The sequence below is a fragment of the Homo sapiens genome, chromosome 1, assembly GCF_000001405.40.
Source record: "Homo sapiens chromosome 1, GRCh38.p14 Primary Assembly".
In the NCBI taxonomy this organism is placed as follows: domain Eukaryota; kingdom Metazoa; phylum Chordata; class Mammalia; order Primates; family Hominidae; genus Homo; species Homo sapiens.
The window spans coordinates 109,945,477-109,965,306 of NC_000001.11; the positions used below are offsets into that span (position 1 = coordinate 109,945,477).

The 19,830-nt window shown below is 40.5% G+C and overlaps 2 annotated features.

Moving 5' to 3' along the window:
* Positions 14,343-14,914: an enhancer, noted in NCBI's record as "OCT4-NANOG-H3K27ac-H3K4me1 hESC enhancer chr1:110502441-110503012 (GRCh37/hg19 assembly coordinates)". NCBI's record gives its function as "activates a minimal SCP1, AML or CMV promoter by ChIP-STARR-seq in naive H9 embryonic stem cells {active_cell/tissue: H9 hESC(naive)}" and the evidence as "EXISTENCE:reporter gene assay evidence [ECO:0000049][PMID:30033119]".
* Positions 14,915-15,484: an enhancer, noted in NCBI's record as "OCT4-NANOG-H3K27ac-H3K4me1 hESC enhancer chr1:110503013-110503582 (GRCh37/hg19 assembly coordinates)". NCBI's record gives its function as "activates a minimal SCP1, AML or CMV promoter by ChIP-STARR-seq in primed H9 embryonic stem cells {active_cell/tissue: H9 hESC(primed)}" and the evidence as "EXISTENCE:reporter gene assay evidence [ECO:0000049][PMID:30033119]".

Here is a 19,830-nt window from a genome sequence, read left to right on the forward strand (position 1 = left end):
TTGAGGTCAGCAGTTCTAGGCCAGCCTGGCCAACATGGTAAAACCTGGTCTCTACTAAAAATACAAAAATTAGCCGGGCGTGATGGCTCAGACCTGTAATCCCAGCTACTCAGGAGGCTGAGGCAGAAGAATTGCTTGAACCAGGGAGGCAGAGGTTGCCATGATCCAATATGGCACCATTGCACTCCAGCCTGGGCAACAAAGTGAGACCCTGTCTCAAAAACAAACAAAAAACCCCCACAAATTGATTCAATTTATTATCTTAAATATCTGGAGTTCAGAAGTCTGAAATTGGTCTCAGTGGGCCAGAGTCGAGGTGTGGGTCGGGCTGGTTCCTTCCAGACACTCTGAGGGGGAATCTGTTTCTTTGACTTTTTCAGCTTCTAGAGGCCTCCTGCATTCCTTGGTGTGCGCTCCCTTCCTCCGTCTTCAACGCTCATCACACCAATTGCAGCTTCTGCCATCACATTGCCTTCTCTTCTGTGGGGAGATCTCCCCCTGCCTTCCTCTTATAAGGACTCTTCTGATCACCTTTAGGGCCCACCTGGGTAAGATGGCATTCCTAGTTTCCAGACACGAGGACCTGGATCTGTTTGGGAGACATTATTCAGCCTACCGCAATTATTATTACACCAACAATTTACCTATTATTTGTATATTTATCTGTATCTCCAGTACACTGTGAGCAACTTGAAGACTAAGACTGTACCTTATCTACCTCTCTATTCTCGTCTCCTAACATGGCTCCTCAGATACAGTAGGTGCTTAATAAATAATGATTGTGTGAATGAACAATCCCATACTTACAGACTTCTATTGCTTGTGCCTTAGGGAGCATCACAGCACAACATTCCAAAGAAATCTAAAGCTAACTTTTTTTTTAAAGCCTTAAAATAAATGTCAGTCTTTAGCACAATTATCTTGGGACATAGAGGAGAAGATTATACAACACATTGCACAGCAAAGCTTCCGAAAAATGCCCTGAAGACATTTCTTCCCTCCTCCAGACCCCTTCACTTAGTCCCTGCACTTGCCCGCCCATCCACTGCCTCAGCCAGCGAAATCTGTAACTTTTCCCAGGGAAAATGCACAAGCATCAGGATTTAATTTTGACACTACCCACTCTCAACCAATGGGCAGGCAATCAGCAGGAAGAAAAAAAAAAAAGCACTATCTACTTCCTAAATTCTTGGATGTGTTTCTCAATCTGTCTCTCACACAGTGAGGTCTTCAAGGCACCCGTGGTCTAGTGCCCAATGACCCCATGACTCCATTTGGGACCAGTCCTGCCTCACTCGAAGCAATTCAAGGAGAACTGCCTCTAGCCAGGGTCCCAAGGCTGACTGTGAGACGGCCTCTGGTGAGGGGAGAAACCTGCCTGGTAGCCCAACTGAGACCTGAAGGCTTAGGGCATCCAACCTTCCCACGCCAGCCTAGCATCTCCAGTGTAAATAACTTGAAGGCTTTCTTTCTTCCTCCTCCCAGATCCTCACTGTTTTGGGTAGCTCTTGGTTATAAATTCCTGATGCTTCTATCTGATCCAAACTTTCTTATTCTCTGAGCTGTGCTCCCAGGCACTTTGCTGCATGGCAAGATAACCTTAGTACAAAATAATGATAGGAGCTTGCAGTTAATGAGAATCCCAATGTGGGAGCTTTCCCTGTTTTGTTGCACCTAAACCTCACTGCATCCCTAAGAGGAAGGTGCTGTTGTTAAACTGAGCCACAGGCGTGTAAGTGACTTGCCCAAGGTCACACAGCTAATAAATGGTAGAGTCAAAATTCAAAGCCAGGGCTGGGTGTGGTGGCTCACACCTGTAATCCCAGCACTTTGGGAGGCCAAGGCGGGTGGATCACCTGAGGTCAGGAGTTCCAGACCAGTCTGGCCAACGTAGTGAAACCCCTTCTCTACTAAAAATCCAAAAATTAGGTGGGCATGGTGGTGCACACCCGTAATCCCAGCTACGCGGGAAGCTGAGGCAGGGGGAATTGCTTGAATCCAGGAGATGGAGGTTGCAGTGAGCCAAGATCATGCCACTGCACTTGAGCCTGGGTGACAGAGTGAGACTACATCTAAAAAAAAAAAAAAAAAAAAAAAAAAAAAAGAATTCAAACCCAGGCAGTCTGGCATGGCATGCAGGTAGGCAAAACATCTCATCTTCCTGTTTACCTGCATTATGAGTTGGACAAATAAATTGTAGCTCCTCTCCGTCTTGCCATGTTTCCTGTTTAGAACTTTCAGGCATCCCGTGGCATTTACAGAAGGCTCTGGGTTCACACAGGCGAAATTCCCTCACAATGGATCTTTACTCTGGAATTTTCCCGTCCCAAGGCCTGCCACTCCTGCAGCCTTAGAAGGCACTTCCTCCCTGGTCCCATGCTCCCTGCGAAGTTCTCTACTTTCCAGGAGCGTGGCTTACAGCTTCCTCCTTTGGGCACCCAGTTCCTAATGAAACTGAACCTTTCAGTCCTGCCTGCCTGGGCACCCTCCTCTCTTCATCTTACTGCAGGACAAGTGTGTCCATGAGGCCGAGTTAATAGCGTCCATGAAGTGAAATGAAATCGTTACTTCAAGCCTCAAGCCTCACCAGGGAGTTTCTTAGACTTTTCAATCTGGCAGGTTGGCATAACCCTGTGTAAGAGGATTCTTCACCTAGTACAGTAAGTTCTGGGCAGCGCATTGTTCCAAAGATTAGAATTCTGATCTCAGGGGTGACCTCTCTTGGCTTTATTACAGAAAAATCACACTTCAACATCTCAGGTGGTAGCACTGCTGTGTTGACATTCACATTCTTTCATGTTAAAAAAAGTCCCCAGATTTTCATTCTTAATTGTCCAGTGTGTTATTATAAGAAAAGTTGCTTAGAATTTCCTCTATTATTTGGCACCTGAGTCATTTTCAAGTTTCACTTTTTTACACAGTATGAAACAGATTGATTTTTTTTTGTTTGCTTAATTTTTGGTTTATTTACTTCCTTGTAGATAAGCTTCCAAAAACAGAATAAATACTCCAAAAGATATGAGCATTTTTACTGCCTTTGATGCATATCCTTTTATTGTTTAAGAGATTGCACAAGTTCACATTATCACCAGCAACATATAAGTACCTGTTTCCCCACAGTTCTGTTAACATGGGATTTATTACTTTTACTAGCTTTTTGCTAGTCTAATAGTTCTAGAATGATATGTTAAAGTTGTTTAAATGGGCTTCTCTTTATTACTTTCAAGGCTGTATTTTTTTATGTGATAATTGTTCTTCCTTTTTGGGGGGAATAAACTGTTCCTCTCCTTTGACAATTTACAGAGTAGAATCCAGACACAAGCCAGTATTTTCTCCATCTATTGTTTTCTACTTGGGGATAAGCTTTTAATATTTGTCACATCTTTTATTTCTATAGCATAGTCTTGTATGTAGCTGCTGTAAAGTTCAGAGTAATCTTTATATATTTGGCCAGGTGTGGTGGCTCACGCCTGTAATCCCAGCAGTTTGGGAGGGTGAGGCGGGCAGATCATTTGAGGTCAGTAGTTCGAGACCAGGCTGGCCAACATGGTGAAACCCCATCTCTTCAAAAAAATATGAAAGTTAGCTGGGCGTGGTGGTATGTACCTTTAGTCCCAGCTACTTCTGGGGCTGAGGCAGGAGGATCGCTTGAACCCAGGAGGTCAAGCCTGCAGTGAACGAAGATTGTGCCACTACACTCCAGCCTGAGGGACAAAGTGAGACCCTGTCTAAATAACAATAATAATAATAATAATATATGTTTATATTTCTCTACCTTGTCCTTAATAAATTTTTTTCATTTCTTCAATAGTCAGACATTTACGACCCCTTCAAACATGAGATAACCATGTTATTTTTCCCATTTAAAAAAATACTAAGCTGGGTGCGTTGGCTCACGCCTGTAACCCCAGCACTTTGGGAGGCCGAGGCTGGCAGATCGCTTGAGGTAGGGAGTTCAACACCAGCCTGGCCAACATGGTGAAACCCCCTCTCTACTAAAAATACAAAAATTAGCAGGGTGTGGTGGTACATGTCTGTAATCCCAGCTACTTGGGAGGCTGAGGCAGGAGAATCACTTGAACCCAGGAGTGAGAGGTTGCAGTGAGCCGAGATCACGCCACTGCACTCCAGCCTGGGTGACAGAGTGAGACTCCGTCTTAAACAAACAAACAAACAAACAAACAAAAACTGGTGTAGGTTTTACTCTAATCATCTGAAATTTATATTATTATTATTATTTTTTTTTTTGAGACAGGGTCTCACTCTGTTGCCCAGGCTCAAGCGAAGTGGCATGGTCTTGGCCTCACTGCAGCCTCGACCTCCTGGGCTCAAGTGATCCTTCCACCTCAGTCTCCTGAGTAGCTGTGGTTACAGATATGTGCCACCATGCCTGGCTAATTCTTGTATTTTTTTTTTGTAGAGATGGGGTTTTACTATGTTGCCCAGGCTGGTCTTGAACTCCTGAACTCAAGCAATCTGCCTGCCTAGGCCTCCAAAATTGCTGGGATTACAGGCCTGAGCCACGATGCCTGGCTGTATTATTATACATAATGCCATGTATTACTCTAAGATATTAAATTCCCTTTTTATTGTTTCATTGCTCAAACAATTAGCAAGCAATGAACTCTTTCTGCCTTGTGTTACTTCTGCTTTGTCATAAATTAAGTTTATAAAATAGAATAGCAGTGCCACAGGAATTTCTGTTCTATCTCATTCATTCATTCATTCATTCAACAAATATGTGTTAAGCACCTACTATGTGCCAGGTACCATTCTGGGTGCGAAGGATACAGCTGTTAACAAAACAAACATCCCTGCCCTCATGGAGCTATATCATTCTGGTGGTGGTGGAGACAATTTAAAAATAGATAACAGATGGATAAATAAATAATAAATAAGACAGGAAAAAGTGATAGGGAGCCTGGCATGGGAATGAAAAGTTGAACTTTTCTCTGGGAATCTTAAGGAGGACCTCATTGAGAAGATGCTGTTTTAGCAAAGCCCAAAGGAGGGGAGGGAACAAGTATGCAAATATGTGGGAGAAAAAAGGGTTCCAGACAGAAGCGCAAGTATAAAGGAACATCAAATTTTGTGACCTGGAAAGTGCCTAATGCATTCAGGCCTAGTGAGAGGCCAAGGTGACTGCAGTGGAATAAGTGACAGACAGAACAGGAGAGGTGACCAGACATGGAAGGGCGAGAGCAGATCTTGCAGGGCCAGGTCATGCATTGTAAGGACTGTGGTGTTTACTCAGAGGCAGATGAGAAGTCTAGGATGGTTTTGCACAAAGGAAAGGCAGGATCTGACTTAGCTTATCAGTGCCACCCTGGCTGTGGTGCTAAGAAAGTTTTGATCAATGTACTTTTTGTAATACATTTTAAATCCTGTGAAAGCCCTACTTTTTTTGTATCTTTTCTTATTTTCTAAGATTGTTATCTATTATTCTGCTTCTGTAATTATTTTGTAAGGCCTTAAACTGGTACTACATGAAATCTATTAACTTTGAAACACTGTCACATTTATTATATATGTATTTTTCCAATAATAATCTGGTGTATCTCTCCACTTATTCATATCCTCCTTTACTTTTACTGCTATAGTTTAGTAACTTTCTTGGAATAAATCTTGTGGCTTAAAGAAAATCCTCAAGCAAATTTATTTTTGGTTCGTGGTTATGAATGGAATCTTTCTCTCTTTTATTTTATGTTTTTATTAATATGCAGCTATATTTCACTGACAGAAACGCAATTGTTCTATGTGGGTTTCTTTTGGCTCACATCTTTGCTAAATTCATGTATTATTTATAGTAATTTAGGGGATACTATTCTTGGAACATTCAGATAAATAATCACGTCAACTGGAGTAGTATTTTTTACCCTAATTGTTTTTTTCGGTTTTTTTTTTTTTTTTTTTAAGATGGAGTCTCGCTCTGTTGCCCAGGCTGGAGTGCAGTGGCATGATCTTGGCTCACTGTAACCTTCGCCTCCCAGGTTCAAGCAATTCTTTGCCTCAGCCTCCGGAGTAGCTGGGATTACAGGCGCCCACCACCATGCCTGGCTAATTTTTTGTATTTTTAGTAGAGATGGGGTTTCACCATCTTGTCCAGGTTGGTCTTGAACTCCTGACCTCGTGATACACTCACCTCGGCCTCCCAAAGTGCTGGGATTACAGGCGTAAGCCACTGCACCTGGCCTACCCTAATTATTTATGCCTTTCCCAAACAGCTATTGTCAGCATTTCTAGTACCACATTGAGAAAAACAGACATGGGTGAACCTTCTGTTCTGTTTTCCAGAGAAGCAAGTCTCGTGCATCTCCAATAAGTATGACATTGGTTCTTCAGATTAAGTACATTTTGTTCTTCTTATTTGAGAATAAAAATATCTGCATCTAATTGCAAAGATTTAATAAGGAATACATATTAAACTTTACTGACTGTCTTTTGAACAAGTATTAAAAATATAATTTGCTTAAAAATTGCTTTTCTTTTTCATTTACCATTTAATTTTCCCTATTTTCTCTCTTTTGAAAATTAGCTAGTTAATAAAGTGCCAAGGAATCCAAATGCAATTATATTTTCATTTTTCTCTTTTTGCATGTCTTTGTTATTGCATTATTTAGAACCTAAAACTTGAGGATTATTAAACATTCATTGCTCAACATATGTTATCATTCTTCATATTCGTTATCATAAAATCTCCTTTGCTACTATATACTCAGGCGAGAAGTTAGGATACTCCCATCATCTTAGTCTTTTTTTAAAAAAAGTATTGTGGTTTTAGGCCAGGCGCGGTGGCTCACACCTGTAATCCCAGCACTTTGGGAGGACGAGGTGGGCGGATCACCTGAAGTCAGGAGTTCAAGACCAGCCTGGCCAACGGGGTGGAACCCCGTCTCTACTAAAAATACAAAAATTAGCCAGGTGTGGTGGCAGGCACCTGTAATCCCAGCTACTTGATAGGCTGTGGCAAGAGAATCGCTTGAACCTGGGAGGCAGAGGTTGCAGTGAGCTAAGATCATGCCATTGTATTCCAGCCTGGGCAACAGAGCAAGACTCATCTCAAAAAAAAAAAAAAAAAAAAAGAAGTCTTGTGATTTGTGATTTTTATTCTTTTTCTTTTTCTTTTTCTTTTTTTTTTTTTTTGAGAAGGAGTCTTGCTCTGTCTCCCAGGCTGGAGTGCAGGGGCATGATCTTGGCTCACTGCAACCTCCTCCACCTCCCGGCTTCAAGCAATTCTCCTGCTCCTGCCTCAGCCTCCTGAGTACTTGGGACTACAGGCCCGCACCACCATGCCCAGCTAATTTTTTTTTGTATTTTTAGTAGAGACAGGGTTTCACTATGTTGGCCAGGCTGGTCTCGAACTCCTGACCTTGTGATCTGCCAGCCTCAGCCTCCCAAAGTGCTGGGATTACAGGCGTGAGCCACCACGCCTGGCCTAATTATTTTTCTTATAGATAATTAATAGTTACATTTCTTTTTTAACTCAGTCTTTAAACTTATTTTCTTCTTATAGAGAGTTGTCTTCTGGATGTATAATATAAGTGATATAATTGTAAAATCTTTCATTGGTCCTGGTATTTATCTTTATTTCATCATTCTTGACTTTCTTGTTTTCTTCAACTGGTCTTGGAGAGGAACAGAAGTACCAATACCAATCTTTGTGGTTATATTTTGACAGTCTGGAATCCTTTTTGAGGTTCAAGTTTTTTAGATGGGATTTGACAGATATTTGAATGCCAGGCACATTTTTTGCCTACATTGTCCCATTTATATGGGGTAACAAATGTGGGAAGGAGCTATTATCTTCATTTTGCAGACTTTGAGGCTCAGGGATGTTGGTTACTTGTCCGTGTTTTATATCTAGTAAGTGGTAGAACCATAATTTAAACTTTATTAAATATCATATTACCAGTTGTTTTTACTTTGATTCATTAACCTTGCCTTTTGATAATGTCCTAGAGGATTATTTTTACCTAAAGTTTTTTTAGGTGACTTCTTTGTACCTGGCTGTGACCTTTGCCTCTCTCTATAGGAATCTGCTGATAAAGAGAACCCAGTCCTCCACTTTGGTCTTCAAGAAAAAAGATGGAATCAGTCAATCTCATTAGATTACTGGAAAAGGAGAGGTTCAGATCCAAGTGTGCCCCTCTCGGAATTCCCGAAGTAGCTTCCTTGGCAGTGTTGTGTAGCTGTGGCCTGGGGACCGCCTGCCTCAGATGCATCTGAGAAGTTAACTGCTGTCTAACTAAACAGATCTCTGTCTCCACCTCAGACTTACTGAGTCAGAAGTTCTGGAGATAGGTCCCAGGAATCTATCTACTAACAGGCCCCCAGGTGATTCTTAGGTATACACAAAACTGAGAACCACCACCCAAGTTTGACACGGTATGCCGCCTATGTAGGACACACTCTAGGATGACCCCCCAGTGAGTCATTGGGTGGAAACTGTGACCCCCGTCTGAGCAATAGAAAAATGGCAGACAGTGAGATGGACTCTCATGTTACATTATAGAAGAAAAATGGCATTATAGAAGAAAAATGGCATTATGCAAGAAAAATGTATACATTATACAAGAATGTATATAAGAATGTAAAAAATGTATACATTATACAAGAAAAATGGCAAAGACAGTGGGATAGACTCTCATGTTACATTATACATTATACTTTACATTATGCAAGACTTACATTACATTATGTTGCTACATTATATGAAATTCTGTCCTAGAGGACTAGAGAGAGGTTCTTGTGCTGGCCTTGAAGAAGTAAGAGGCCATGTAGTGACAGCCTGTGAAAAAGTCACATGCCAGGAAGTGTGGATGACCTCTAGAAGCTGAGAGCAGGCCCCAGATGACAGTCACAAGAAAACAGGGGCCCAGTCCTACAACCACAGGCCATGTGAGCTGGAAGAGGACCCGAGCTCCATAAAAGAATGCAGCCTGGCAGAAATCTTGATTGTTACCTTGTGAGACACTGAACAGAACACCCAGCAAAGCCATGCCTGGACTCCTGACCCACAGAGACTGTGAGATAATAAATGCATGCTGTGTTAAGCTACTAACTTTGGGGTCATTTGCTACATAGCAATAGAAAAAACTTAGACATCTTCCTTCTCAAAATTTCAACATTCAGCTTTTTCATAGCATTATTTACAGACTTGGGGGGAGAGGCTGCAAGTAATAACCTATTTATTTATGTTTTATTTTAAATATTTCTTTTAAAATAGTGAATATACCACTACACACTCAATATAAAATTAAAAAGACCAACAACACCAAGTACTGGCAAGGATGAGTACAACTTGAATTCTTATGGTAAAAACGGAAAATGATAAAATCACTTTGAAAAACTGTCATTTCTTTAACAGTTAACAAATATCTACCATAGTATCTAGCCGTTCCACTCAGTATTCACCCAAAATAAATAAAAGCATATTTCTACTCAAATGGAACATTATACACAAATGTTCATAACAATGGCTGTGCAGGGTGTGGTGGCTCATACCTGTAATCCCAGCACTTTGGGAGGCCGAGGCAGGAGGATCACTTGAGGTCAGGAGTTTGAGACCAGCCTGACCAACATGGTGAAACCCCATCTCTACTAAAAATACAAAAATTAGCCAGGCGCCTGTAATCCTAGCTACTCGGGAGGCTGAGGCAGGAGAATTGCTTGAACCCGGGAGGTGGAGGTTGCAGTGAGCTGAGATTGCGCCACTGCACTCCAGCCTGGGTGACAAAGCGAGACTGTCTCTCAAGAACAAGCAAACAAAAATGATCGTAACAGCTTTATTCATGTAGTCCAAATCTGTAAACAATCCAAACGTTCATCAACAGTTGACTGGATAAACAAAATGTGGTATATCCATTCAACAGAATGCTATTCAGGAATGAACTACTGATACACATAACGACACTAATGAATCTCGAAATCATTATGCAGAGTGCAGAAGTCAGATACAAAAGAGTATATGCTGTGTGATTCCATTGATGTAAAATGCAAACTAATCTCTAATGACAGAAAGCAGATCAGTGGTTACCTGGGGCCAGGGAAGAGAGACAGCTGGATGGCAAAGGGCATGAGGCATCTTTTGGTGAAATGTTCATGTTCTGTGTCTTGATTGTGGAGCTGGTTTTACAAGTGTATAATTTTCTTTCTTTCTTTCTTTCTTTCTTTCTTTTTTTTGAGACAGAGTCTCACTCTGTCGCCAGGTTGGACTGCTGTGGTGCGATCTCGGCTCACTGCAACCTCCAGCTCCCTGGTTCAAGTGATTCTCCTGCCTCAGCCTCCTGAGTAGCTGGGATTACAGGCACACGCCACCGTGCCTGGCTAATTTTTGTATTTTTAGTAGAGTCGGAGTTTCACCATGTTGGCCAGGGTGGTCTCAATCTCCTGACCTCGAGATCCGCCCACCTCAGCCTCCTAAAGTGCTGGGATTATAGGCGTGAGCCACTGCGCCCGGCCTCACAAGTATATAATTTTCAAAAGTCATTGCATTGTAAATTTTAAATGGATGTGGTTTAACTATACATAAATTATTCCTCTATAAAGTTGATTAGGAAAAAATAGATAATACACATGGTACAAAATTCCAAAGGTACAAAAGATTTTAAGTAAGTGCCCAACCTTAGAAGCAACCACTGTTACCAGTTTACTATGTATATTTCTAGACATATTTTTACTTAATATAAATTGCAGGTCTTTACAAATCAGTCCATTTTAAAAAACCCTCTTTCTTTTTAAAAAGTGTCCATTTATGGCTGTACCATAATTTGCAGACCCAGTCTCTAGTCAATGGTCACTAGATTATCTCCAATCTTTTTACAAACAAAAATGAGCATAAAATTGCTGGACTAAAAAGTATGTGTATTTTTTTTTCTATTTTTAAAGATATTGTTAAATTATCCTCCGTAGAAGTTATAGCAATGTATATTTCCACCAGCAATGAGAGTGTCTATTTTTCCATCCCTTGCTGACACAGCATGTTACAAAATATTCAATTTGATAGGTAAAAAAGTAAATATCACTATAATTTTATTTTGTGTTTCACGTTGTGAGCGAGATTGAACATCTCTTCACGTTTTTTAAGAGTCATTTACATTATTATTTGCTTTTATAGTTGCTTTTTTGTAAACTATTTAGATCTGCCTGCTTTTCTATTGGGTTGTTGGTCTTTTTCACATTGTTTTATAATAGTTCTTTATATATGGTCTTGGCTCAGATTCCCTATGAAACAGAACCTGAAGCAAAGCTCACATGGTAATGTTTTACTGAGGGAGTGCAAGCCCAGACCAGCATGCACGAAGGTAAAAATGGAAGGGAGGACAAAAAGGAGAGAAAGCAAATACAACATGGTGCATTATCAGGCTGACCATAGCTTCAGGAGGATACAGACAGTTGCTCAGTTAAGTTGCCCAGTTGTCAGAAGTGAAGGATGGTGGGAATGGGAACAAGAGGATTTTATCTGTCCTCCTATCTGCAGCCTCTCATAGATCCTTTTTTGCCACAGGGCATTAACTATCCTGCACTTCTGGGTTGCCTCACCTGCACAGATGGTGGGAAAGCCAGGTCCTATGTCCTACCTGAGACCAAAGGAGGAGAGCATCATATCTTCCAGATTTGGGTATCTGTGCAACTGTGGCCCTTGCCCAGCCTTCATCCTGGGGGGAGATGAGACAGGCAGTGTTGCTGGGAAGAAGGCAGAGAGGGCAGTGTTTAGGGCACCCTATGGAGCAAGCCACTGAGGCCCTGGAGAGGCAGGTAGATGTGAGCAATTCTGGAGAGAATAATAGTTATAGATATAGATACAAATATAATAATATATACTTATAATAATATGTATAATTATTGTTTTGCTGTATTATAATTTTTAGATATCCTCACTCACCCCCCCAAGTTTGTTATTTGACTTTAATCATTTATGTGATTCTTTTTGACCATGCAGAAATATTTGATTTTTATCTGACTGAATTTATCAATTCTTTATGTTATGGCTTCAGCCTTTTCTGCCCCTGAGATTATGAAAAAACAAACAAGCAAACAAAACCAAAAAAACTTTTATATTTTCTTCTTGTGCTTCTGGAATTTCATTTGTCAAAATTTAAATATGTCTGATCCATCTGGACTTTATTTTGCTATAAAAGCATATATTATAGATATAATTTTATTTTTTCCAAGAGGCTACACATTGTCCCTGATGTAAAAGGCCACCTTTATCACATATTAAATATACTTATTTTTGAAGAGTTCTTATTGAACATGCTTTCACCTAATGGGTCTGAAGTTTACTAGGTCTCAGAAATGATTTATGGGAGGAAAGTCACAAAATTGTAGAGCTGGACTCTGTCCTGCACTATTATCCACTCTATAGAAGACAATAGTGGTCAAATAACAGAGTTAAAACATAATTAATATTTCATTTTGTAATACTATGGCCAAAGTTTCATCTCCTTCATTTCACCAAGATGTTGCTAGTTGTGGAGACATCGCCCAGTCCCGATGTATTGTTGTTTGAATTAAAGCTTCTTTCCCTGGAGAATGTTGTAAAATATAAATGTAGTTTTAGATGTGCTATTTTTACTTGGCATGGTCTGTGGGATAGCCTCAAAGGTATTTAAAATGCAAAAAAACAAAAACAAAAACAAAAACAAACAGTAAGACAGGAATGAATAGGAAAAAGAAAAAACATGTTTGAAAGAAATTGGACCTTCGAAACAACACTTGCCCTAGAGAATTAACCATTTATTTGTGCACCCAACCCCCTCCCCCCCCCATTGATTTAACTTGTACATCCTTCTGGCATAACCCCAAGACAATTTTAATGTCATTTAATTATTTATAGTCCATCCCTCCTGGCCAGACGGAAGCAAGCCATGCCTACATTTAATTCCAGGGCTTAGCCTAGAGCCTGAAACAGAATAGTTGCTTAAAACACATTTCTGAAATGAATGAAATAAAGAGTAGGTCAATGAATTAACCCAAGTCCTTTGAAAGCTTCTTCTGATGTCATCATTTCTTCCTCCAACCCCACCTGGACTCTGGGGTCCCACTGTGCCCTTTTACCTAATCACTGACTTCCTCACTTGCCCATTTATGTGTCTGTCTTCCCCATCAAAGTGTGAACTCTGAAGATGACTGCCTTAATCATTTTTATACCCCTAGCACCTGATATACACTATAAACATTTGTGGGGTGAATAAATGAATGAATTACAGTTACAGAGGCAAGCAATTAGAAAAGCTCTGAAAGTTGTTAAGGGGAAGCTAGAGTATCTGGTCTTTGCATCCAGAAAAACAGACTTCTCTTTCCAAAGGAGAAAATGTGGTTAAGTAGAAAGCCCATATGCTTTGGAGAGAGAAGGCCTGAGTTCTAATTCCAGCTCTTCCACTTACTTTGGGCAAGTCACTTATCTTATCTGAGCTTCAGTTTCCTGCACTGTAAACTGGGAATAGGATTGGAGATAATGTTTGGAGGTGTCCACCACAGGCATGGGCATGTAGTAGGCTATAGCTGTGCTTGGCTATTATTACTATTTACACTTATCGTTATTAAGAGGTGTAGGAGGAATACAGAGCAAAGAGAGCCGTTAAATTTAGAATTTAGGGTTGTGTGCGGTGGCTCATGCCTGTAATCCCAGCACTTTGGGAGACTGAGGCAGGTGGATCACTTGAGGTCAGGAGTTGGAGACCACCCTAGCCAACATGGTGAGACTCCGTCTCTACTAAAAATACAAAAAAAATTAGCAGGGCGTGGTGGTAGTCCCAGCTACTCGGGAGGCTAAGGCAGGAGAATCGCTTGTACCTGGGAGGCAAAGGTTGCAGTGAGCCGAGATGGTGCCACTGCACACCAGCCTAGGCAACAGGAGACTCTGTCAAAAAAAAAAAAAAAAATTAGAATTTGGGTAGCTTTGGAGGAGATAGTTTGGGTGTGGAACGGAGTGAGGGGGACCTCTAGTCATTGTCATGGTGATACTAACCATCAAATACTGAGCCTACACTCCAAACACATCATTTCATTAATCCTCACAATAAATCCTAACGTCAGTGGTATCACCCCAATTGTCAAAAGGAGGAAACCAAACCTCAGAAAACATTTTTGAGTTTCAAGGTCACAGAGCTAGTAAGTGGTTGAGCTGGGTTCAAACCCAAACTCATTTGATTTCAAAGCATGTGCTCCAATTTTAACTTTTATTATCTTATTCTGAATAATCTGGGAGCTGAGAATATTCTGGAAATAAAATCCAGGTTAGAGACCTGCCAAGAGCCTAGACAGTGAGTTAAGCTGGGCTAAGGCACTGAGTAAACTCAGAAATGTCTGTTTGTCATCTCCCTGTGCTTACTGCTCCTGTTGTTAAAGATGTCTTAGCATCTTAAACAACTGAGCTTGTGCTGAACCAGTGAACTACATTGGGTGTGGGAGCTGGTCCTTGGGGGAAAAAAATCTCTCCCTGCACCCATATGTTTAGAAGCAGAAAGTTACCCGTGATTTTAAGAAAGCTGCCTTTTAGGAGACTGCCCTGGGCCTGGCTTATCACATGAATACAGAATACTGGTTTGCATTTCACCAGCCTACATCAGATGTTTGTTTTAGCATACCATACATTCTTAAAGCATGCGGGACAAGGAGATGCACTCCAGGAAGGGCCCTTTCAAAGTTTCGACTGGCTGTAACCTCTTTTGACCTTTGCTCTAGTGCACAGGCTCATCCTAGTCAAAGACTTGTCTTCAGCATTACAAAATTTAGAAACCAACTCTGAATTCACATGCATTGTTTGCCAATGTTTTTCAAGTCTTCTCACTTCCAGCTGGATGGTCTTAAATGTACTCTGACCCACACAGTTTCAGGCAAGTTGCAGAGCGCTTTGTAGGTATCCGATAAGTATGCCCTGAATTGAGAGGCTAATTAAACAAGAGGAATTTAGCAATATCACCTCTTGGCGTGAGTATTATGTAGCATCTGTAGTCGGGAGGGGTGGAGGGGTTGTAGAGCAGGGGTGACTTCTTTAAAACCTCTCAGTTTGCATATATGCCTCCCCTACGAAAAGTCCTGCTGGTAATAAACATAATCTGCCCTGTGTGTTCCCACCACAGGGGGGACATATAGCATGAATAAGAACTGGCTTCCCTTAGAGAGCTTTTCCAAAGGACACCATCTATTTACTCAGCAAATATTTACTGAGCAAAATGGGAGGAGAAGGGCATTCTGGGGAGAGAGAAGAGTTTGAACAAAGCTAAAAAGGAGGGAAAACCAGGAGTATGTATGGGATACACTGAATAGTCAAATTCAGGTGATAAAATCTGAAAGGTAGGAGGGAACTGATAAGTAGAGCTTTGAATGCGTGGCAAGGAGTTTGGACTTACTGAAACAGGCAAAAGGGAGCCAAAGAAGATTTTGAGCAAGTGATAAACATAATAAAAAATGCTTATTAGGCAAGTTAATATGCCAGCAGTTCCTAAATTGGACTGGGTTGAAGAATAACAATATAAAGCAGCCAGCAATGATTGAGTAGTTACTATGTACCCAGCACCATGCCAAACTCTTTGCATACATTTTCTCATTTAATGAAAGTAATAATTAATGCATTTAAGACTCAGTGTCTGGCCCATAATGTATTCCAACCCTCACAATCATCCTGTAAATTGAGTATTATTACCTCAGTTTTATAGGTGATGTCTATATTGGTCTGTTTGCTATTGCTTATAACAGAATACCTGAAACTGACTAACTTCTAAAGAAGTTTATTTCTTACAGTGATGGAGGCTAAGAAGTCCCAGGCTGAGGGGCTGCATCTGGCGAGTCTTCTTGCTGGTAGGGAGTCCCCAGGTAGTTCGGGGCACCCCATGGTGAGAGGCTGAGCAAGCTAATTAACTAATTAATTAACCATTTAATCCATTAATCCATGAATGAATTAATACACAAATGAGGGCACTGTTCACATCAAATGTTTGAGAGTTTTTTTTGTTTTTTTTTTTTCTTTTTTCTGTGTCTAAAGGGTTTTTATTTAAGAGCCTGTAGTGCTGAGTTCCACCAAGGATTTGGAAGGTCACTCTCAGCAGCAGCCACTTCTGCCAGGACCAGTGGTGAGCACCTGGCAGGGCCTTGCTGTTTCCACATAAGGCAAAGGAATCCAGCTTTTCTGTAGGATTTTTGCTGCAGCTGTTCAAAACCTTGTGTGAGCCAGCAGTTCCAGTTCAAAGGTTAAGAGGGCGCATAGCACCTAGGTGGCCAGGTTCCTGTAAGTCACCACTCAGGCCATAAGTCACCACGGAGGGGAGAGACAAAGCAGCCACAGCTGTTCTGTTTCCAGTCCCACCCCTCTGGCAAACAGATGGGGGGAAATGGAGAAGAAAAGTTCACAAAGTCGGTGAAATGGCCAGGCACGGTGGCTCACACCTGTAATCCCAGCACTTTGGGAGGCCAAGGCAGGTGGATCACCGGAGGTCAGGAGTTTGAGACCAGCCTGGCCAACATGATGAAACCCCATCTCTACTAAAAATACAAAAATCAGCTAGGCATAGTGGCAGCCTCCTGTAATCCCAGCCACTCGGGAGGCTGAGACAGGAGAATCGCTTGAACCCAGAGGTGGAGGTTGCAGTGAGCCAAGATCACGCCACTGCACTCCAGCCTGGGCGACAGAGTAAGACCCCACCGAAAAAAAAAAAAAGTAGGTGAAATGAAGAGGGCAGAGGAGCTGCAGGCAACTACTTGCAGGCCCCACCACACACCTGACAGTTCTGCCTTCAAGATCCAATCACCTCTTAAAGGCCCTACCTCTCAATACTGCCACAGTGGGGGTTAAATTTCAACACGAGTTTTGGAGGGGACCAATACTGAAACTATAGCACTGCCCAAGGTTCAAAGAGGTTAAGTATTTTATACCAAAGATCAAAGAGCTATACGTGGCAGAGCTAGGATTTAATCTCAGGTTGATCTGCCACCAAAGTTGACTCTTAAGACAGGGAAGTATTAGGAAGCAATTTCAAAAGTCCTGACAAGTGGTGATGGACTAGGGGAGGGCAGGGGGAAAAAGACAGGAAAACGGATGTACAACTAAGTTACAATTGCATAGCACACATGACATGGTAATTGAGAAATCTTTAGATAGAGAGAATGGTCAAAGATGACCCAAAGTTTCAAACATGAATGACCAACAGAAAGGTGGCACCAGACTGAAAATCCAGAACCTAAGAGGCAAAGTCAATTAAAGGGATTCTGAATATATTGAATTTGATGCGTTGATGATAACCATGTGGAGATAACTTGCTAACATTTGGAAAAATTTTATTATTCCTTATACTCTGTTCCTCATTTATAACTCCTCATTCTTTTATTTAAAAAATTTTAAGAACAACTGAAAAATCAACAGCTCTTCTTAGATCCTTCAGAGAAGTGAGGTCACGGGACAAATCACTGCCTCTAAAATTAGAGAGACAGATACAGAGAATTACAACTTAACCAAGGCAGAAACCCATGAGCAGAAACTTCTGTGGGAACCAGTATTAGGGTAGAACAACTTAAACTGTAATTGATAAATTGCTAGAGGCTCCATTGTGGACAAGTCTGAGAAATAAAAACTCCAGGGGGTCCCAGTCAGAGGGAGGCCTCACAAGTTTTTTGTGAGGTTTAGCTCCATGAGCTCTACCAGGTTCTCACAGAGAGTACTAGAGAAAAATCCCTTTATACTTCTAGGGAAAAGTAACCATTTTGAAATATGCCAGAGCATTCTGTTCTTCTGGACAAGGTCTGCCTTCAAGGGAAACGATTTTACCAGAGCCTAACCTAATGGGGTTTTATCAGCGCCTAAAACCAACTGGGGGGAAGAGAAATACCCAACTCCAGCCCACTGCAGCCATCGTGTCCCACATTGCAAGTTGAGGTGGATATTGAGAAGCACTGTGAAGTTTACAGCCCAGGGGCACAGGCTTACTAAAAAACTGAGACCTCATTATATAGAATGCTTATCCTCTCCCTACGTCTTAACTCCACACCACTAAGGACTGTTTGCCAGAGTTCCTTTTACCCAGTACATTGTATCTGGTGTGCAACAAAAAAAAGTGTAAGACATACTGAAAGTCAAAAAACATAGTTTAAAAAGACAGAGCAAGCATTATAACCAAGCTCAGGTATAGCAGGGATGTTGGAATTATCAGACCAGGATTTTAAAACAACTATGATTAATATATTAAGGCCTGTAATGGAAATAGTAGACGACATACAAGAACAAATGGGTAAGCAGAGGGATGGAGATTCTAAGAAAGAATTTTAATAATGCTAAAGATAAAAAAACACTGCAACAAAAAGGAAGAATGCCTTTGATGGGCTCATTAGCACACTAGACGTGGCTGAGGAATCTCTCAGATTGAGGATATGGCAATAGAAACTTCCAAAGAGAAAAGAGACTGAAAAAAAAAAAGGAAGAGAATTTCAAGAACTGTGGGACAACTACAAAAGGTGGAAAATAGGCATAATGGAAATATCAAAAGGAGGAGAAAAAGAGAAAGGAACAGAAGAAATACTTGAAGCAATAATGACTGAGAATTTCTCCAAATTAATGGCAGTTAACCAAACCTCAGATCCAGGAAGCTCAGAGAACGCAAAGCAGAATAAATGCCAAAAACAACAACAAAGCCCTACACCTAGTCATATTATATTCAAACCACAGAAAATCAAAGATGGAGAAGTCAGGAAGTGGGAAAAATCCCATTACCTATAGAGGAGGAAAGGATAAAACTACATTAGACTTCTCAGAAACCATGCAAGCAAGAGAGAGGAGAGTGAAATAAAGTGTTAAGACAGAAAAAAAAAGCACCAACCTAAAATTCTGTGAAATTGTCCTTCAAAAGTGGAAGAGAAATAATTACTCAGACAAACAAAAACTGAGAGAATTTGTTGCCTGCCTTGAAAGAAATGCTAAGACAGTTTTTTCAGAGACAAGGAAAATGATATAGGTCAGAAACTCTGTTCTATATAAAGAAGAGCATCAGAGAAGAAATAAGTGAAGGTAAAATAGAACTTATTTTTCTTATACTTAATTGATCTAACATAATAGTTTGCTCAAAATAATTATAGCAACAAAGTATTATATTATGGATACTTTGTGTGTCTATACATGCTTATATATGTTTATGTATTAAGTAAAATGAATGAGTGATTAAAAGGATGAGAGGGAGGAATTAGGAATATTTTGTTATTATAAGGTACTTTCACCATCCCTGAAGTGTTATAGTGTTATTTGAAAGTAGACTTGGATTAATTGTAAACATATATTGCAAATTCTAGGGCAACCTCTAAAAAACATTTTTTAAAAAGTATATATTAATTAATATGCTAAGAAAGGAGAGAAAATGGAATAATACAAAATGCTAAATTAAAGCCACAAAAGGCAGAAAAAGAATAGAAGACAAAAATAGGAACAAAGAATAATGAATAGAAAATAGTAATAACTATGGTAGATATTAATCCAAATGTATCAATAATAATTTTAAACATCAGTTGTCTAATATACCAATGAAAAGACAGATTGTCAGAGTAGATTAAAAAAAATCCAACTATATGTTGTATACAAGAAACCCACTTTTAATATAAACACACAGATTAAAAGTAAATTAATGGAGAAAGCCATACTATGCTAGTTCTAATCAAAAGAGAGTGTGAGAAACTATATTAATTTTAGGCAGCAGACTTCCGAGCAAGGAAAGTTATCAAAGGTAAAGAGAGGCATTAGACAATGATAAAAGGGTTAATTCTCTAAGAAGACAGGACAATTCTTAATGTGTGTGCACCTAAAAACAGAGCATCAAAATATGTGAGGCAAAAATGGATAGAATCGCAAGG